We start from the raw sequence: 21,727 nt of genomic DNA on the forward strand, positions 1-21,727 counted from the left end.
GGTCAGGCTGGTCTTGAATTCCTGTTCTCGCGTGATCGGCCTGCCTCAGCCTCCCAAAGTGCTGGGATTACAGGCGTGAGCCACAGCGCCCAGCCAGGAAAAAGCTTTAATTGACTCAGTTCTGCATTGCTGGGAAGGCCTCAGGAAACTTAACAATCATGGCAGAAGGCAAAGGAGAAGCAGGCACCTTCTTCACAGGGTGGCAGGAAGAAGTGCCAAGCAAGGGGGGAAAGCCCCTTATAAAACCATTAGATCTCGTGAGAAATCACTCACTATCACAAGAACAGCATGGGAGTAACCACCCCCACATCAGGAATTTTCCCTATAGTGACTCTGTTGGGGTATAGAGATATCAGAGAGAGAGAGAGAGAAAGCACGCTTGCAGATCAGCTGCAGATGAACTGACTGTCCGTGTGAGGGACATGGCTGAATTCTTAGAGTGCTGTCTGTGATGGTTAATTTTATATGTCAGCTTGGCTGGGCCATGGTGCCTAGATCTTTGGTTAAACATTCTAACATTTTTCTGGATGTTTCTGTCAAAGTGTTTTTTGGAAGACATTAACATTTAAATGGGTGGATTCTGAGTCAACCAGATTGCCTTCCATGACGTGGGCGAGTGTCATCTAATAAGCTGAAGAACAAAGACTGACCTCCCCTAAGCAAGAAGAATGATGCCAGCAGGCTGACTGTGGGCTCGATCTGCAGCTCTTCCCTGGGTCTCCAGCTGCTGGCCTGTCCTGCAGACTTTGGACTTGCACCTCCACAATCACATGAGCCAATTCCTTAAAATAGACCTTTCTTTTTCTAGGTATAGGTACACATCCTGTTGGCTCTGTTCCCCTGCCAAGATGGGAGCCAATCAATTCCAGCAGAATGTGTGGGGCCTCATTCGAATGAATGTTTGTGCCCTCTTGGCAGACATGGCGAATTATTCAAGAGCAGGAAGCCAGTTCAGGATGGAGCAAAGTGTTATCCTTGACTTCTTCCTCCAGCTTCCGTCCCCATCAATCTGTGTAGTGGCCAACCCTTCCCACTTCCCACATTTACTCTCTCTCTTACTGCTACTCCTTAATCCGAGCCATCCATGGAAATCCCCAGCCAATAGCATGGGACAGTTGACGGTCTAACTCTCAGCATTCATCCCTCTCGTTCCCAGCATTTGCTCTATGCATCAGGCATGCAAACCCTTCCCCACTACTTGTAGAGCCCATGCTCCTTTATACCTCTTGTATTTCATTCACCAAAAATCTCTAATAAGGGCTGACTGTGTACAACCCTGTGCTAAGGGCGGAACACGCAGTCCCAGGTTTCAAAGAGCTCAGAATCTAAGGGAAAGAGAGGCTTGGAAACGGATTAAGTGCAACCACGTCCTGGCCACAGAGGGGAGGAAAGAAGCCCTGGTGAAGGCTCTTTGCAGAGGGAGGGAACGTCTTTATTTTATGCATGTTCTTCCCTTTGCTACCTTGTGCCTCTTCACCAGGAAACATCTCATCCTGCAGCTGAATACCGTCTCCCTACTCAGTGGTATCTACTGCCACCTCCATGCTCTGTCCAGAGCTAGTTCATTGTTCCCTTCCCAGTGCTCCTTCATATTTTCTATTTACTACTTTCTTCCTTTATTACATCAAGTAATACTACCAAATACTGCTCCTCTAGCATTTGCCCTGTGCTGCGCATGTGCTCGCCCTGCAACCACCTTTGGGGCAGGTACTATCGTATCATATCGTATCATCATTGGCTCAGGGTATAAGTATCTTGCTTAGTAACTCATGGCTCGTGAAATTAGTCATTTCATAATCTCAAGTTGCTGAGCACTTGTCTGGCGCAGAGTAGAGAGCAAATATTTGTCTAATGGAAGTGTGTTTGTGAAAATGCTGGGCTGTGTAAACTAAACAGAACGGAATAAAATCAGCTAGAGGGGTTTGCCAGGGAAGACTTCAAAAGCAGAGGGCATTTGTTTCTCTCTTGCCACCACTAATGTTTCTCAGTGTCTGGGGCGAGAGCCAGGAGAGAGAAGCCAGGTAGTCCCATCGTTGGAAAAGGCCACAGCGCCTTGCTGCCACCCACTGACAGCAGCATGGAGCTCTGCAGTTCCAGGACTGCCTGTGCAGGGGGCCATCCCTGGTACCATGCCCCTCTCCCTTCTGTGTGCCAGCTGGGCTGTCTCCCTTTCCTGGCCAGGGCTGTCCCTGCTGAATGCCAAACATCTGCAGACAGGGTTTGCAAACAGCTGGCTCAAAGTTCTGAGCTTTTGTGATCTCATCCAAGTGCCTGGCTATGGGGAACAGGCTTATTTTCCTGGGCTACCAGCACTGGAGTGGTGGAAATTACATTAGACTTGGATTCAGAGGCCTGCATTTGATTCTGAGCCCTGCCACTTTACAGCTAAATAAATGATACTGAACCTCTGTTTCCTTCGCTGTAAAATGGAAATGATGATCATTCCTACCTCATAGGGTTGTTAGGGGAGTAAGACAATAGACATGGGGCATGCTTGTAACTGTGTTCTGCTGAAACATGTGAGAGAGTGTCAATAATTAAAAGAAGCAAGAGTTCCTCAAGTCACAGTCATGCCAAGATGTCTAGACAATCCCTTTAGTTTATCTCAGTTCATTATTGAGATGCGAGGTCTACATAGCAGGGAAATTAATTGTTGCACTGAATGGACCAGATTTAGTTATTCACTGAGGTGGGCTGACACCTTGGGACTAGCACAGCATCTGGAGGCGGAAACTCTGGAAATGAATCCCCAAGTGCTGTTTGTGTAATCTAAGCATCATTTCTTCAGTTCTAAAATTGGGGCCATAATCTCCACATTGTACATGCCCTTGGACCCAGCAATCTTGCTCTTGGATTATATCCCAGAAGGCGTATACGGTGATGTGTAGAAGGATATTCGTCGTGGTGGTGTTTGTGGTAGCAGACAGGAGAGATATTGGAGGTTTTCACCACCAGGGAATGGATAAGTCAACCACAGTGGATGCGCCTGTGGAATTCCGGACAGCAGGCAGAAGCAATGGACTAGATGTACACAGAGCAGCATGGAGAATTCTTCAAAACAGTGTTGGGTAGGCTGGGCATGGTGGCTCACGCCTGTAATCCCAGCACTTTGAGAGGCCAAGGCGGGTGGATCATGAGGTCAGGAGATCAAGACCATCCTGGCTAACATGGTGAAAACCCGTCTCTACTAAAAAAAATACAAAAAAAAAAAAAAAAATTAGCCAGACGTGGTTGCGGACGCCTGTAGTCCCTGCTACTTGGGAGGCTGAGGCAGGAGAATGGCATGAACCTGGGAGGCGGAGCTTGCAGTGAGCCAAGATCACACCACTCCACTCCAGCCTGGGCAACAGAGCAAGACTCCATCTCGAAAGAAAAAAAAAAGTCACCTAATTAGAACAAAGACACTCCTATCACCCAGTAAATTCCAAGAGATTAGGAGTTTTGTGTCAGAAACTGGGGTCAAAGACAAAATATTAGAACAAAAGATGTACCTAGCACTCTCATTGCAGATTACAAGTGTTTTAGGAGCTCTGTGTCAGGAACCATGGATGAGGAACAAAAAAAATTCTTATTATAAATCATAATATTGGGGGTATAGAGTAAAACAAGAAAAGAGAAGAGCATTGCAAAGATCAGTGATAATAGTAGAGTGTTAACCTAGATGTATAACCAACTCAGTTTCCTGCAGCAGAAAATGTTTTAAATGTCTATCCTGAGGTGTTGTAAGAATTAGACATAATATTCATAAAGGTTCCTGACACAGTGCTTGGCCCATGAGAGATGCTGCAGAAATGGAAGCTCCTTTTATCATTCTCTCATTGATCAAATAATGTACCAAGTGCCCACTTTGTGCAGGACGCTGTGCAAGGATCCATGGGAGAGACAAAGACTGGGTGTCTCTCAGGAACTTGAGCATAGCAGATGGGACAGAATGGCAATGGGAGGGGAGAACCCTCATCTGAAGCTGCAGAGAAGACACTATCAGACCTCCTCAGCTTCCAAATTGAGGCTGAAAGAAGTGACTTGCTCAAGGTCACACAGCCAGTTAGGGGCTGAGCTAAGGGCAACTGTCTAGGTCTCCAGGGCCTTTTCAGAGCATCACCCAAGCCAGTGTGGCTGGTGGGGTGACTCAGATTCTTGACTTCACCGCACAAAAGAATTTGAGGGTGGGTCCAAAGTAAGAGTAGGCAAAGAAGTTTATTGCAGAGTGAAAGTACACTCTCAGAGGCAGAGTGGGCTGCTCAGAGGCAGAGACAGCCCCCAGTGTCCCAAGGGAATTCCCTTTATGAGAGCTGTACAGACATATGCATGAACTACTGGTGAGGTGAAGTGCAAAGGCTGACCTATGGTTGGTGTATGCACTCAGCATCTACATGCTTTCACATGCATTGCATGTTATCACTAGCGTAGAAAATCACCCAGAGGTGTGTTTATTAAAATGAGGAAAAATCACTAAGTTAAACCTTGAGCCTAGCTGCTCATATGAGACCCAGGAGAAGTCCTTAGTCCACCCCCACAAGCCAGGAATTTGTAGCTAATAGCTTCTTGGGGTTTTAGTGCTGATTGGCTACAGATTGGGGAAGCTGCATCACATCATGAACAATGGGTTTTTGTTCTCTTTCTCAGGTGGTACTAGGTATCAGGAACTTGTAGCCATCTGGCGGTCTGCCGGTAGCCTGTAGGACTGCTTACAGGTAGGTGCTGATGCACAAGGGGGGCCTGCTTTGAAAGGAGCCCATGGGGCTTCACACCAGGGGACAAGTCAGTGTGGCCTCCTCACCTTCCTTATCCTGCCTCACCAATACATCTGAATCCAAGAGAGTGGAAGGCTGGTACCTCCTGTCTCACCTTCTGCTCTGACAATCCTCCCTCACACTCCTCTTCGGTTTACCCACTCACCCATGTGCATGTGTGCAATGGAGAAATAAATTAGGAGATTGTTTTAAAAATGCAATTTGGTAGCTAAAATCTTTCTGAATAGGGGGTCCATGGGAAAAAAGTGAAAAGGTTCTGAACCCTGGCAGAGGTGAAGCTCTAAGGAGCAAATCTCCTTGGGGTGGTTAATTTTACATGTCAACTTGACTGGGTCATGGGGTGTCCAGATAGTTGGCTTACTTCTGGGTGCATCTGTGAGGGTGCTTCTGGATGATGTTGGTGTTTGAATTGGTGGCTGAGTAAAGCAGACAGCCCTCTCCAGGGTGGGTGGCACCATCCAATCTGTCAGGGGCCTGAATAGAACAAACAGGCAGAGGAAGGCTGAGTTTGTCCTCTGCCTGGATGCCTGAGTTGCAACATTTGTCTTCTCCTGCTCTCAGACTGGGACCATAGGCTCCCCTGGTCCTTAGGCCTTCAGACTTGGACTGAACGACACCACTGACTTTCCCAGGTCTCCAGCTTGCAGATGGCAGGAAGAGGTTCTTCCCAGCCTCCACAGTCATGTAAGCCAATTCCTTACAATAAATGTCTTCATATCTACACATCCTATTGCTTATGTTTCTCTGGAGAAGCCTGACTAATACATTCCTGTTCTCCCTTTTCCAGGCCTGCCCAGCTGCTTTAGTGATTCCGGGTCAGAGTCTTGCAATCAGAAGCAACTCCCACCCTCAGCCCTCAAAATGGGCCATCTCAAATCTTACTAGCCAATGGCACTCCAAGGAGAGGGAGGAGCAGTGTCCCTGTAAGCTCCTTCCAGCCTTTATCATCCTTTGACTTGTCCCTAAAATATCCTATTCCCCAAAGATGGCAAGAGCGCCTCCCGAGAAGGAGGAGCAAGGGCATCTCCATGGAGCCCCGCTCTCTGAGCTCTGACTGAGGGTGGGGGAAGGAGAGAACTCTGGGTCTGGCTCACGGGGTGCCATGTGTCAGGCAGCAGGTCCTTGTGAAGTCTCCAGAGATGTGAGGAGTTGGTCGTAACAGCCCAGGGAAGGAGAGGTAGACGTGGCAAACGGGAGAGACAGGTCCCCAAAGGCTTTGCCGACTTCTTGCCAGCCTTGATCCACCAGAGCTATAATGGCCTTTCCTACTATTTCAGAAAAACCCAAAACTTTCCCCACAGAGTTCAAAATGGGATTGGCAAGGAGCTGAATACCATATTGGTTTTCTGAGATGAGCACAGTCAGCACACTAGCTCCGAGTCAGAAAGGGCAAGAGAGGAGGGCGAGACAATTCTCTAAGTGATGGGAACCTTCCCTGTCTGGGAGTTTGGCTCAGCTGTGAGCTGGGTTAATGTGGCTGCAGAAGGGAAGCATGGTTCATGTCCAGCCAGCAGGGACACTGTCCCAGAGCTGCGCTCAGCCCTCATAGACTGGCTCCATTTACCTCTCACGCAGCACCCCATGAGCTGAGGGCGGTTCTGTGGCCATGTTACACATAAGGAAATAGGATGCAGAGCTGATGACTTGCCCAAGATCACACTACTGGGGAGTGGTGGAATTAGAATTTGAACCCAGATTGCCTAGCCCATTAGCCTAACCACTAATCAAAGCAGCAGCTCAACTGTAGCCGAGTCATTAGGAATCTCCCAGCTTATGGCTGAGAAAGCAAGAAAAATGAATCTTTACCATGCAGGGCCGGAGTCAAAGTGCACGTCATTCAGTGCACGTTTCTTCTGAAGAATATTTCTTATGGAAATGCATTCTGCGGGGTCACAATGGCTCATGCCTGTAATCCCAGCACTTTGGGAGGCTGAGGTGGGCGGATCGCTTGAGCCCAGAAGTTTGAGACCAGCCTGGGCAAATTAAGGAGACCTTGTCTCTACAAAAAATTAAAAAATTAGCCCAGCATGGTGGCATGTGCCTGTGGACCTAGGTACGCAGGAGGCTGAGGTGGGAGGGTCACTTGAGCCTGGGAAGTCGAGGCTGCAGTGAGCCGTGATCGCACCACAGCACTCCAGCCTGGGTAACAGAGTCAGACCCCGTCCCCTCCCCTGACAAAAAAAAGAGATAAATATATTCTAGGGAAACATCAATCTATAACCATAATTCCTATATTCTCAGTATCATCTCTTATTTTTTGGGGGGCTGCCTGCTCATTGAACAGCAGAGCATGGCATGGGGTTTCATCACATCCAACATACAACCTCCCTTCCAACCTAACTGATTTTCCACAGTGTTTCTCAGCACTGTCATAGAACTACCGCTTATGGAATGTATGAATGACATTATTACAAGATATTTAAAGAGATTTAAAAGTATAAAACCTGAATAAAAGCCACCACAATCACTTGGTGTGTGCAAACAACACCCCGGTTCAGACATCACTGACAGGACGTGTCAGGGATTTCACCTTACCGGCTAAAGTGGCGCCACCGTGTGGCAAGAATGTAAACGCTATTTGCAATGGACTTGGATAGGCAGCTTCGAAATTACGTGAGCCTTAGTTCTTTTTATTTAATTGGTGAGAGTTGCATTATTCCAAAGTTGTAGGCATCAAGTCAGACTTTATTAGTATCGCGTGTCACACGATTTCTAATTCCTATCATTTAAATTGGGCCGATAGGGACCCCTCCATGCCGTGTGGTGAGTGCTGGGATTTGGGCATGTGCTGGGCATCTGGACATGACAGGGCCTAGAGGAGGAGGTAAAGTGTAGGGAGGCTCCCAGAGGAGGTGACCTGTGAGTCAGATTTTGAGAGTTTTCCAAAGGAACGCACGGAAGTGGACAGCAGAGAAAAGGGAGGACGATATTCCAGGCACAGAGAGCAGAGTAGAGAATGCCATAACATCACAGAAGGACATGAGGTATTGGTGAAAGGTTGGGTGTTTAGCTGTTGTTTTGATTGGTAGTTAGGCTCATGGACTAGGGAGTAAGACAGTCTGGGTTCAAATTCTATTCCATCACTTCCCAGTAGTGTGATCTTGGGCAAGTCATCAGCTCTGCATCTTATTTCCTTAAGTCTTGAGAGGGGAGTGGAGGTGGAGCTGGGGCTAGAGAGGAGGGTCAGGGCCGGGTGGAAAATGCCATACGGTGCCATGAGAAGGAGCCTTTCTCCTGCAGGAGTGGAGGTCACTGAAGGACAGGCAGGTCTGTGTTTAGACAGATTACCAGTAGCAGGGTGGATGTTGGACTAGAAGAGAGAAGAAACCACAAACAGGGGAACTAGTTAGCAGACTGTTGAAGAAGTCTCCCATCCCTTCATGAATTCTACAAATACTGAATGCCCACACTGTGCCAGCGACTGTTCTGGGCATTAGAGATCTATAAGACAACAAAATAAAGACTGTTGCCCTCTGGGAGCCTACACCTTACTAGGGGGAGACAGGCAACAAACACATAAATAATATGATATATAGTGTTTCAGATAATATGAAAAGCAATGGGAAAAAAATAAAGCAGGGAAGGAGGATAGAGAACGTGGGCAGGGTTGCAATTTTAGATAAGGGGATCAGCGAAGGCCCTGGTGAGAAAAGGATTAAAAGGCCTAAAGGGAGTGAGGGAGGAAAGCATTCCAGGTCCCAGGGAAAGCCTTCCAGGCAGAGAGAACAGCAAAGGCAGAGCCTGAGGTCAGAGCGTTCCTGGTGAGATCTTGGGAAAGCAAGGAGGCCAGTGTGGCTGGAGCAGAATCAAGGCAGGCAGGGTGGGGGCCAGGGGCAACATCAGAGACAGGGGAGGAGGCAAACTGTGTAGGGTGGGGTTGGCAAAGCTTATCTGTAAAGGGCCGGACAGTAAACATAATATTTCAGACTTTGTGCACCACGTGGTCTCTCTTGCAACTGCTGAACTCTGCCCTTGTAGTGTGAAAACAGCCACAGACCAAATGTAAAAGAATAAACATGGCTGTTTCAACAAAACTTTACTTACAAAAATGGGTGATGGGTCAGAATGGCCTGCACACCATAGTCTGTCAACCCTGATGTAGGACATTAGAGACACTGAAGGTCTTAGTTTTACTTGAATAAGATGGAGAGCTATCACAGGGTTTTGAGTAAAGAAGGAGCACAATGTAACTGATGTTGCATTTGGATCATTCTGGCTGCTGTGTGAGAATAGACTGCATGGGGGTCCGGGGTGGAAGTAGGGAGACCAACTCTATTATTTATTCTCTGAGTGACCTTGGGCAAGTCACACAGCCTCCCTGGCCTTCAGTTTCCTCTTTTGTAAACTGGGGTAATAGTGTAATGATACCTAGCTTATGGAGCGGTTGTGAAGGGTAAATGAATCAACATATGCAAAGCACAAGGGAAGTGCCTGGCACACAGTAAGCACTATATATGGTAGCCATTTTTATTAATGCAGTCATTTAGACAAGATACAGTGATGGCATGAACCAGGTTATGCTGGTAGAAGTAATAAAAAGTGATCTGATTCTGGACATATTTTGAAGGTAGAGCAAACAGAATTTTCAGATGATTTGTATACAGGGTGGAGAGAAAGAGAGAAATTAAGGAAGATTTTAACTTTTTTGTCTGAGTAACTGAAAAATGGAGTTGTTCTTTACCTAGAAGAGAAAAGCCGTGGGAAGAATGAGTTTTCAGGGGATCATGAAGAATTCAATGTTAGACAGTAGGATCTGTAAGCCTCATTCAGAGGAGAGCCCATTGAAAGTTAAGGAGATGAGAAAGAACCAACAAAGATAATGGAAATGAGGCAGACAGCGAGGTAGGCAGAAAACCAGAAGGACTTGGCATCCTGGAGTTCAAGGGAGGAAGGCACTGGAAGGAGGGAGGTGTGCATCAAATTTTGATAGGTCAGGTAAGCTGAGGATAAGAATCACTGGGTTTAGCAATGTAGAAGACTGGAGCAGTTTTGGTGGAGTGGTGGGTGCGCAAGCCTGAGGGAGCAGGTTTAACAGAGAATGGAAACTGAGTGTTTGCAGACAGCAAGTAGAAACAGCTGTTGGGGAAAATTGGCTGAAAGGGGAAGATGGAAAATGAGGCCATAACTGGGGCAAGCCATGAGGTCCAGACAGAGATGACAAGCGATAATGGAGCAATAGATATCAAGGGCCTTGGAAGATGGGATGAGACGAGTCCAAAGGCATTTCTGATGAAGAGGACCTGGAGACTGTCGAGGTGTGTGGAGTGAGGGAGAAGTCTAGGCTGGCTCCCGGGTTCCTGGCGTGCATAACTGAGGGGGTTGTTGGGAGCAGCATTCCTTCTCTGTGCTTTGGTAGCATCTTGGGCATGCTGCTATTGCCGCATACATTGCACTGTCATATAATTGTTTATGAGTCTGCCTGCTATTTGAAGACTGTGCCATGTTCCATATTTATCTCTGTGCAACTGGTGTAGAGTGAGTGCTTGGAAGCGAAGCAGCAGCTCCGGGAAGGCCGCAGTTTCAGTGGTCTGGTCTTGACAAGACAGCGATTTATTTCTTCCATGCCCCATGATAGAGCATATTTCTCCTGTTCTGTCTACATCTCTGTAGGGTCCAGCCCTACATGGCCTGTGGGTTTTTCTCTTCGTGTGCGGAGATGAGAGATCGTAGAAATAAAGACACAAGGCAGAGATAGAAGAAAAGACAGCTGGGCCCAGGGGACCACTACCACCAAGGCGCGGAGATCGGTAGTGGCCCCTAATGCCTGGTTGTGCTGTTATTTATTGTATACAAGGCAAGAGGGCAGGGTAAGGAGTGTGAGTCGTCTCCAATGATAGGTAAGGTCGCGCGAGTCACGTGGCCACAGGACAAATAGGGAGCCTTTCCCTATTTGGTAGTCGAGGAAGAGAGAGAGAGGACAGCTTACGTCATTATTTCTTCTATGTATTTCTTGGAGAGATCAAAGACTTTAATACTTTCACTATTTCTGCTACTGCTATCTAGAAGGTGGAGCCAAGTGTACAGGGCAGAACATGAAAGTGGACCAGGAGCGTGACCGCTGAAGCACAGCATCAGAAGGAGACGTTTAGGCCTCTGGATGGCTGTGGGTGGGCCTGATTAATGTCAGGCCTTCCACAAGAGGTGGTGGAGCAGAGTCTTCTCTAACTCCCCCCGGGGAAGGGAGACTTCCTTTCCCGGTCTGCTAAGTAACGGGTGCCTTCCCAGGCACTGGCGCTACCGCTAGACCAAGGAGCCCTCTAGTGGCCCTGTCTGGGCATAACAGAGGGCTCACACTTGTCTTCTGGTCACTTCTCACCATGTCCCTTCAGCTCCTATCTCTGTATGGCCTGGTTTTTCCTAGGTTATAATTGTAGAACAAAGATTATTATAATATTGGAATAAAGAGTAATGCTATAAACTAATGATTAATAATATTCATATATAATCATATCTATAATCTATTTCTAGTATAACTATTCTTATTGTATATATTTTCTTTATTACACTGGAACAGCTTGTGCCCTTGGTCTCTTGCCTCGGCACCTGGGTAGCTTGCCGCCCACACATCTCCACTGCCCTTCCTTTCCAGAGATTCCAATGGATTCTTACCTAAGATGCCATAACTCAACCATAGTTAATAGGGAAGTATGGTTGGCATTCCATCAGGATCCCAGAGCTGAGTATGACAACTAGGGCTACAACCCAACTGTTTCCTGTTGAGTTTCTGGAGCCCTGTTAGGTGTGGTTGTCTGGAATCTGAGCTGTTGCATCCCTATCCCCATATGACTGACCCTGACATCTTTTAGAAGTTGATTCAGTGGTGCCCTAACATTGGTGTGGCCCACTGATCCTCCATGCCCAGAATCTTCCCCATGGATGATTCCATCTTCTGCTTTTTAACACAAGCCAGCAATCCAAGCTCTAGGAAGACAAACTTTACACTGATGAAATGACTCAATACCTCTTGGTGCTGAGGAAGGGCTATTTTTATATTTCCAATGCTTTATGGACTGTTGTGAGGCCTCAGAAATCCAGGCTCCTCTGAAGTACATCCTCTTAGGCAACAGCCCCACCCACAGTCCCCTGTCCTACCTGACAATAAAAAACTGAGATGCATGGGCGAGGCTGAGGGAGAAGCTGGTGAGCAACGGCAACACAAGGCAGTGAAGAGAGGGGACTTGGGAACGTGGCAGTGAAAAAAGTCAGCCTGTGTCTCAGTGATGTGTGTGTGAGGGACCCAAACACTCAACCCAGATCACATTCTATGGGAAAGGTGAGGATTAAATGAAATGACATAGATACAGCGAAGAGCACAGGGTGGGCAGTTAGTAATTTTTAGCTGCCTTTTCTTTTACTATTTGAAATGTGCATTATAAATTACAAAGTGACAGATGCTAGTTGCTAGGATGAGGCAGGTACCAGTCCAATGGACTAGACAAGTGTTTCTCAAACTCTAATGTACCTAAGAAATAGCTGGGGATCTTGTTGATCTGTGGATTCTGTTTCAGCGGGTCTAGGATGATGTCTGAGATCCTACAGGTCTAACAAGCTCCCAGGTGATTCCAATTCATTGAACTCTTTGAATAGCAAAGGTCTAGAACAGCGGTCTTACCCAGGCTACACATTCAAATGATCTAGTGAGATTTATAAAGTATGGGCTTTCTGCTCTTGCACTCCATCTACTGAATCAGAATTTCCAGTGGTGGAGCTTAGACATTTACAGTTTTAATAGGCAAGCCAGATGACTCTAGTGTTCAGCCAGGACTGAAGACCACTGGCCTAAGGCCCTGTATTCTTTCTAATTCTGTTCTCCAGCTAATTCTGATTCATTCAATCAGTGATATTTGTTGAGCTTCTATTCTCTGCCAGGCAGTGAATTTGGCAAGGAGAACAAACAAAAAAACCAGCAATGACAGTGCATATGCTAAATGCTGGGCAGAGGATGCCTTGCATGGGAGCCCAGGACAGTGGGTGTGGTGATTTAGCCATCTTGATTGGTCACAGGCAAGGAAGGCTTCTCTGTGGGAGGTGAGGGTAGGACTGAGTTTAAAGAAGGAATAGAACCAAGTTAGAACAATAGGAAAAGCCGTAAAATAACATAACATGCTGGAAAAGACTTGAGTTCACTCAAGGGAAGGGTAAGTAACTAGGCTGGAGAAGACATTAGGAAGAAGATCATGAAGGGGTGCTAAGTTAGGAGTTTGACTTTCATCCTGAATGCTAGGATTTTAAGAAGACTGAATGTTGGAAAATAGCAAACACAAAACAAACATTCAGCCTCAACATTATAATTTTGATGTTACTATTATTATTATTACCGGTTTGTGTTTAAGAGATATTATACTGACAATAGGATGGAGAATTGGCTACAGGAGACCTAGGCTAGAAACAGGGAAAGTGGTCACAAACTATTATAGTAACCCAGTCAAGGAATGAGACAGATATGAAGGAGGTAGATTTGGCAGGACTTGAAAGACATGGTTCTTGCAATAATTTAAACATTCCCATGTGCACATAGCAGTTTGCAAATTCCTTTCATATAACAAACTTGAGAAGGAGTTAGCATAAGCATTAGTCCAATTTTACTAATAAAGGAAACTGAGACTCAGAAATGAACTGACTTATTTACGGTCACATGACAAGTGTGTGAGCAATTCTGGTTTATCTGACTCAACATCAGGCATTCCTTTTGCTGTGTTGGGCCGCCTCCTATAAGGTAGACATCCTATATGAACACTGGGAAGGGTGGGGTAACCCCTCCTGGTTGGCATGTGGGGTGTACTGGTGTGGCCTTAAAGGGACCCTGAGGCCGGGCGTGGTGGCTCATCCCTATAATCCCAGCACTTTGGGAGTCTGAAGTAGATGTATTGCCTGAGCTCAGGAGTTTGAGACCAGCCTGGGCAATATGGCAAAACCCCGTCTCTACCAAAAATACAAAAAATTAGCTGGGTGTGGTGGCACGCACCTGTGATCCAAGCTATGGAGGCTGAGGTGGGAGGATTGCTTGAGCCTGGGAGGTGGAGGTTGCAGTGTGCTGAGATTGGGCCACTGCACTCCAGCCTGCATGACAGAGTGAGAACCCTTCTCAAACAAATAAATACATACATTTAAAATAAATAAAGGGACCCTGAGTTCAACAACTCTGTTACCATTAACTCGACATTCCCAGATATGGAAATAGGGGCCAGAGTCTCAACACTGGAATTTTCAGACAGTTTTGAGAAGAATCCATCAAGGGCTCCCAGCTTTTCCCAACAAAATCTTAGAGCTGACAGGTTATGAAAGCAAAGTAGCAATGGAAGTACAGATATTGGAGCAGTTGGCAGGGGTAGGGGAAGTTATCCTGATCCATCTTTGCCTTTGTCTCTGTTTCAAAGCCATGTCCCTTTCTCCACTCATTCCCCTCATTTCCCTCTTCTCCATCAATTAATTTCCACCTCTCTCTAATCTCTGCCTTCCCCCTGGCTGCTCCTCTCAGGCTTCAAGTTTGCTCCAAACTCACTCATCCTTAAAGGACCACCTCATCTTAGTCCTGCCATATTCTCAAGCTACTGCCCTGCAGAGCTAATAAACAACTCCACCCACGCTTCACAGAGGAACGGGAAGGTTTAATCTGATTTTTACGTCTGTCGTCTGACTACTGTCTCTGATTATCTCAAGTTCAAAGTTGGCCTTCTGATTACTGTGACTCTCTTTGAGAACTGATAATGGCTTACAAATGGATTCCTTTACCACACTTTTGTTCGTCTGATGTTTCATGGACTGTCTCTGTGTAAACTTAGTTATTTAATGTCTCATACTTTGGGGGATAGTGCATCAGTGAGGAATCTGTTTGGCTATTAACTTTGTTTTAAACATATAACATAGACAGAGATGATACACATCAAATGATTTGTCTCACAGGCAAAAAGGCAGGGGAAGGTACTTGTAGGCTAGAGCAGCAGCCCCTTTACACAATCGTCAGCGTTCTAGGCCCCTCTGTCTTTTCACACTGTCACCTTTGGCATGTTGGTTTGCGGCCCAAAGGCTGCAAGATGGCAGTGCATCTCCAAGCATCCTCCAGGTAGGCAGAAGCAAGAAGGGCAAAGTGGGGAAAACCGGGCCTTGCCAGCCAACTCTGCCACTCTCTATTGAGAAGACAAAAGCTTTCCTGGAGTCCACACCCAGTAGAATTCTGTGTCCATCTCATTTCACACAGCCGCCTACAGCTGGAAGGTAGCTAAGGAGGAGTGTTTTGGATGGGCTGGGTCAGTCAACAAGCAGCATCGTTCACATATCCTCATATATATGGGGAAGACTTTGCTTATGGTTTAGCTGTGTGCAAAACAAGTTACAGTGACTGGTGTTTCAGATGTCAGGACCTGTATTAGGTGTAGCATAAATTCTGTCAAGTGAAGACTACCATCTCCCTTTTACAGATAAGGAAGCTGAAGAGCAGAGAGGTGGAATAACTTATTGAAGCTCATACAACCTGAAGAAAAGTATTTTTCTGTTAAAACAAACATACATTATGACATAAAACCAAAAAATCCTCACCAATTTTAGAGATAAAAATTAGTGACTGCACAGACATTCCATATGGCAGGGGTCACCAACCCCTGGGCTGCAGACCCCTGTCAGTGGCGTGTTAGGATCTGGGTCGCACAGCAGGAGGTGAGCCATGAGCCAGCATTACCTCCTGAGCTCCGCCTGCTGGTGCGAGCTCCTTATGAGAATCTAACTAATGCCTGATGACCTGAGGCAAAACAGTTTCATCCCAAAACCACCCCCACCCCCCAACCCCCGTCCATGGAAAAATTGTCCCTGGTGCCAAAAAGGTCTGGGACCACTGCCATATGGACTATGCCCTTGACTCTCCCAAAGGAACATTTCCCCATTCCTCACTCGCTGGGGTACCTCGCTGGGAAAGTATGAGAAGCCCCAGCGGCCACCGTCACGTGGGGATAACAAGATATACACAAAAAAGTGAGCTTCCGCCACGGGAATTCAGGCCTGATGCAGTCTGTGATGTGAGGATGTCTCAGGCACTGCCATGCAGATGAGTGGGAAATGAAGGGGACTGATGGGAAGTGCCCTGAGGTGACAGGAGGGAGCAGTTCCCGAGGGAGCCACAATGGTCAGGGAGGGCTTGGGGGATTGGCAGATAGAAGTGGGCCTTGAAAGGAAAATAAGAGTTGTACAAGCAAGAAGGAGATAGAAACGGTATTCCAGGTGATGAGAAAAGTATGCCCAAATTTTGGAAGCCAGAGAGTGGGATACTCCAGGGAGAGTGAAAAGACAGCCTGGCTAGAGGAAATGGGTCCTGAAGGAGAGAAATGAGAGATCACTCTGGAAAGGAAGTCTGGGGCTGGTTCCTGAGGAAAGTCCCCTGAGATCCAACATCTTCTTCTGTTCTTTCTACCCACAGGTCAGGAATTACACAGATATTGTTTGCTCTGCAGACCTGAGCTGCCTCTTAAGGGTGCTGATTACACAGCCTTCTTCATCTCAGCCTATGTCCAGATGGATCACAGAATCCTCACCACAAGGGAGCTGGCCAGCCTGACCTGGAAGGTGGGGGCTTTCCTGCCATTGGTGCCTATTGCTTTGGGCTTGCATACTCAGTACAGGTTGACACCTAACTCTAATGCCACCTGCTATGCCAACAGGACCATCCAGAAACTCAACCAAGGCACCACAGACTGCTGGGGAAAGGTTCTTGCTGTTTTAAATAACATGTCCAGGCCGGGCACAATGGCTCACGCCAGTAATCCCAGCACTTTGGGAGGCCGAGGAAGGCGGATCACCCGAGCTCAAGAGTTCAAGACCAGCCTGGCCAACATGGTAAATCCTGTCTCTACTAAAAATACAAAAAAAAAAAAAAAAATTAGCTGGGTTGGTGGCACACACCTGTAGTCCCAGCTACTCGGGAGGCTGAGGCATGAGAATCACTTGAACCTGGGTGGCAGAGGTTGCAGTGAGCCGAGATCACACCACTGCACTCCAGCCTGGGTGACAGACCAAGACTCCGTCTTAATAAAAAATAAATAAATAAATAACAAGTCCATCATCAGTTAGGCCCTGACCAAATGGGCTAGGGGACATGAGGACAGATGGGGACGGGGAAAAAAAGGAGCAGATACCTTAGCTCAGGTCCTCATCCCCAGCTGGGTTCCCTTCTCCTCCAAGGAATCCTTTCCAGGAGTGGAGAAAGAGGCATCTCAGTCAGACAGCCAGGGTCCCTGGAGGCCAGACTTTTTCATCCCCTTTCACATGTGAAGAGGCTGAATAATCATCTTATCCCCCTGTATTAGCTCATTCTCACATTGCTATAAAGAACTACCTGAGACTGGGTAATTTATAAAGAAAAGAGATAGAGCCAGGCATGGTGGCTCATGCCTGTAATCAAAGCACTTTGGGAGGATGAGGTGGGCAGATCACCTGAGGTCAGGAGTTCGAGACCAGCCTGGCCAACATGGTGAAACCCAGTCTCTACTAAAAATACAAGAATTAGCCAGATGTGGTGGCCTGCGCCTGCAATCCCAGCTACTCAGAAGGCTTAGGCAGGAGAATCACTTGAACCTGGGAGGCAGAGGTTGCAGTGAGCCAAGATCCCACCACTGCACTCCAGCCTGGGCAAGACAGTGAGACCATATCAAAAAAAAAAAAAAAAAAAAGAAAAAAAAGAAAAAGAAAAAGAAAAAGAAAAAAAGAAAGAAGAAAAGAAAAGAAAGGAAAGGAAAAAAGAAAAGAAAAGAGGTTTAATTGACTCATGGTTCCACAGGCTGTACAGGAAGCATGGCTGGGGAGGCCTCAGGAAACTTACAATCACGGCAGAAGATGAAGGGGAAGCAGGCATGTCTTACATGGCTGGAGGAGGAAGGAGAGAGAGTGAAGGAGGAGGTGCTACACACTTTAAACAACCAGATCTCATGAGAACTCACTCACTATCAAGAGAACAGCAAGGGGGAAATCTGCCCCCATGATCCAAACCGTGTCACCTGCCTGTATTATCTCTGTGTGTGTGTGTGTGTGTGTGTGTGTGTGTGTGTGTGTGTGTGTGTGTGTGTGTGTGATGGGGTCTCACTCTGTCACCCAGGCTAGAGGAGCATGATCATAGCTCACTCACTGCAGCCTCAAATTTGAGGGATCCTCCTGGGCTCAAGCTATCCTCCTGCCTTAGCCTCCCAAGTAGCTAGGACTGTGCCTAGCTAAAATACCAAACTCTTGATTTCAGCTCCTTTTGTCATCATTTGTCCATTTCTTCTACAATCTTAAATTTTTTTGACTGGGGTTTCTATGTTGCTGAATTTGGTGACATTTTCACTAACCCAGAACACACACACACACACACACACACACACACACACACACAGCCCCATTAAAGTTCTTTCCTTCAATGAAATTGGCAAAGGGGCATAAAGAAAACTGGAACCTAAGGACCCAGTGAGGAAGCAAAGTTCCACTTTCCACTGGAAACTGGTCTTTTACAATAATCCCATTGCACCTAGGAGCTGGACCAGGCTGTTATTTTAGAGTTTAAAAGTTGTCCTCCCTTCTTCTACCTGGCTACTGGCTTGGGGCTTTAGGTGGGTGAGGCCTACCTCCACAAGAAAAATCCACAGTGAAAATGGTGACAGTTGGAGGGTGCTGGAGTTGAGCTTAGCCTTCCTCACTTCAGAAGAGCTAAATGCATACAGGAGTGCAACAGAAGTCAGGAATCTATTGCCAGAGGGGCCAGAGAGGGGCAAGGGCCTTCCTGCTCTAGGGCCCTTCCCCAGAAGATGTTAGCTATGGGTCAAGTCTCTACCTCCTCCCCAACCCCCATTCTCCATTGCATCCTTGGAACCAGGAGCCCAGAAACCTGCCAGCCCAGATGACCAGGACCATGTTTGAGATGCATAAATTTGGTCCTCTGGATCCTTCAAAAGTACACTGTATTTGTCACTCCCCGTAGACCCTCATGCAATAAGTTCTTCATGCTCTGTACATCGATTCTTTTTCTCCAGCAGTTCTGAGCAATGCTTCAAAAACGAAACATCAGATTCCTTGTAAAGTTAAAAGGAACAGATTTTTTTCCCACATACCATGAATTTCTCATTGATTGGTTTAGTTACAATATCTAATGTGTCCACAGGTATGTTTTAAAAGTTCCTTTATGGGGCAGAGAGAGCATTTTTTTAATACTCTGGTTTCACTTTTTTGCATTTAAATACTTTCTCACATACTCAATATTTATAAAAGGGTTAGAGTTCATTTTAACAAATCCCATTAAATAGGCAGGGCTTTTCAAGGTCTTGCCTATGAATTTCCTCATTTCAAGCACTGTTTAGTCCAGGTAAGCTCCAATAGAACCTGAGAACTTGGGACTGCCAGGCCAACTCTAGGTACTAGTTCCTGACATTTCTTTGAATATTTGGGTGGTCACATTTGTTTTCTTTGGTCATACTTACCCAACTGGACCTCTTTTTTGTTGAAATGTGAACTCTACTGCTAGCCAGTTAAAGTTCATTGTTTTTCAGAACTTTGATTTTGAAGATGAATATGACTTTAACCTGGCCATCATGTACTGCTTTTTCATAGTTAATTCAAAACAGAGCAGAACTCTGGGGATTAGTTCAATAGAAACAATGTATTCTTCAGGATCTTTCTCTAAGTAGAGGAACTTTCTTGACCCTTACACAGCAATATATGGACTTTTTGGACTACCAGCTCATGGTTATTCTTAATGTGATCCAGACCCCAGGGCCATCCCCAGGAAAAGGAAGCAAAGCACCTCCCCACAGTAGGCCTGTGCTAGACACAGTGGACACACAGTGGAAACAAGGTCCCTGCCCAAAGACCTCAAAATTTATTGTGAGAGATGAATTGGTAATTAAATAGCTGATTATTTTAAAAGCCCTAATACAGTTGTGTTTCATGTACATAACTGTAAATGAATGTAAAAAGTGCTGTAAAATCACAGTGGGAGGGATTCATTCTTGCAGTGAGGAAGAAGGATGAGGATTGAGGAAGACTTCAAAGAGGTGAGTTTTGAAATAGGGTTTGAAGGACAAGTAAGAGTTTACTAGGCAGAGATGCATGGAAAGAACATTCCAGGCAGCAGAGACAGCTAAAATAAATAAATAAATAAGTCGCAGAGTAAGGAAAAGGATGGGAATGAGAAGTGGTTCAGTGTTACTACAGCATAGAGCAAGCTTGTCCAACCCACAGCTCAGGATGGCTTTGAATGAGGCCAACACAAATTAGTAAACTTTATTAAAATATGAGATATTTTTACAATTTTGTTTTGTTTTTGCTTATTAGCTATCATTAGTATTAGTGTATTTTATGTGTGGCCCAAGACAATTCTTCTTCCAGTGTGGCTCAGGGAAGTCAAAAGATTGGACACCCCTGGCATAGAGTATTTTGGGGTGACATGATGGGAGCTGGAGAAGTAGGTAGGGGTCAGAATTCAGAAGGCCTTGGACACCAGCCTAAAGGCTTAGAGTTGCTCCCATTGGCCATGCACTCACCAAAGGTGTTCACGTCCCTCTTTTGGCTGTTAGATTGGATGGGCTCAATCTTTTGGCCCTCTGTCTCTAGAATAGAGCCGCTGCTTTTCTACTGGGCCCACTATTTCTTCCTGGTCCTCTGATCCCCTTAGCACTACACAGATCTCGATATTTGCCTCGGGTATCAAGGCTCTGAAAATGATCAGGATTTAGAGGAGATGGCTCATTTTCAGAAAGAGTTTTATATTCTCCCTCTGGCCTTATACACTACAGGCAAATGGCACCGATGTTTTGGAGTTGGGCCAGTTGGGCCTTTTCTCCCCTCAAGAGAGGAGGATTCGATATTCAGTGTTTCTGAATTTCATGCTTAGTTCTTAAGCCATTTCCCATTTGCCCTAAGAAATAAGAGCTGGCAGCAAGCTGCGCTGTTTTTTTCTAAACGGGAAATGGGTTAAGCATTTGTGATCACCACTGAATGAGTGCCAGAGCTGGTTAGTGATCTTCCTGTTCAATCCGAGGTCACCTAACTAGATAACAAAGAGCTGAAACTAAAAGTCCGGTCTCCTGACTCCCAATCCAGTACTCTTTCTGGTGTGCTCCAGCTTCTGGCTCTGCTTAGCCAATTATGGAACAGACAGAATGTACTTGGCTGCCCCAAACGGCTAAAGGGCAGTTCTGTTCCCAAAATGGAATTCTGTTGTGCCTCAAGCTAGGCAGCATAATTGTGTGTCTTTTGGTAACTCCCTGTCTTCTTCTGTAAAATGGGAGTAGAGCCTACTTAATCCTGCAGCTACTTCTAAGATCAGGGATTGGGGCGTGGTGGGCTGTTCTGCAGCTGTTTTGTGATGGATGAGGGATGATAGATCTATGTTCAAGTAGCGGAATCTTAGAGTCAGGAGTTGGAAGGAATCTTGGAGGTGGTCTGTGGTGACAGGAAGCCTCTTCCAATAGACTGAACACGGAAGACTTCCTAGAGCCGGAGGACAAGGGTTTCTTTCCTCTTAGCAGTGAGCTTCTTGTTTTTGGAAATGCTCAAGCCAAGAATGGATGTTCAGGCAGAGGGGATTCCGCTCGGAAGGGGCTTTCTGCACTGAAGTGGTGGCCAGCGGGAAACTCCAGGTTTCCAACTCCTGCACAAATCCTTTCTAATATCCATCCACTCAGGTGAGCTGGCAGGGCAGTAGCTGTGCAGGGTTCAGGGTCATTATATGTCAATGACCTTCAGCACGGATTACTAACAACAGTAACATCCGTTACCGTTTACTGCTTTCCTATTAAGCACCATGCACTGTGCATAACATGTTATCTTTATCTCATATCTAGAATTTTGGGAGGTACTTTGAATCATTACGATCTATCTACTTCTTAGGTGAGGAAATAGAGGTTTAAAATTTAGTCCACAGTCTCGCAAGGATGGAGCCTGGATCAAATTTTGGGTTATCAGATTCCAATCACGTTTCTTAGCTTTTCTTTTTTTTTTCCAACTCCAGTTTCTGTCTT

The 21,727-nt window shown here is 46.2% G+C and overlaps 1 long non-coding RNA gene and 1 pseudogene across 3 annotated transcripts, besides 1 other annotated feature; both read left to right on the forward strand.

The window, feature by feature from the left end:
* Window positions 1-5,553: 5,553 nt before the first annotated feature.
* On the forward strand, window positions 5,554-16,539 carry LOC105378724 (uncharacterized). 3 transcript variants are annotated; one of them, XR_947347.2, is made up of 3 exons: window positions 5,554-5,677; window positions 16,162-16,307; window positions 16,403-16,539. It is a non-coding gene; the product is annotated as an uncharacterized LOC105378724 (long non-coding RNA). The 3 variants fall into 3 exon arrangements; XR_947346.2 differs by lacking the exon at window positions 5,554-5,677 and adding an exon at window positions 7,653-7,738; XR_947348.2 differs by lacking the exon at window positions 5,554-5,677 and adding an exon at window positions 15,636-15,719.
* Window positions 7,195-7,244: an enhancer, noted in NCBI's record as "active region_1041". NCBI's record gives its function as "activates an Ori minimal core promoter by ATAC-STARR-seq in GM12878 lymphoblastoid cells {active_cell/tissue: GM12878}" and the evidence as "EXISTENCE:reporter gene assay evidence [ECO:0000049][PMID:35858748]".
* CPT2P1 (carnitine palmitoyltransferase 2 pseudogene 1) lies at window positions 11,406-11,982 on the forward strand (annotated as a pseudogene).

Source organism: Homo sapiens, chromosome 1 (assembly GCF_000001405.40).
Source record: "Homo sapiens chromosome 1, GRCh38.p14 Primary Assembly".
NCBI classification, from domain to species: domain Eukaryota; kingdom Metazoa; phylum Chordata; class Mammalia; order Primates; family Hominidae; genus Homo; species Homo sapiens.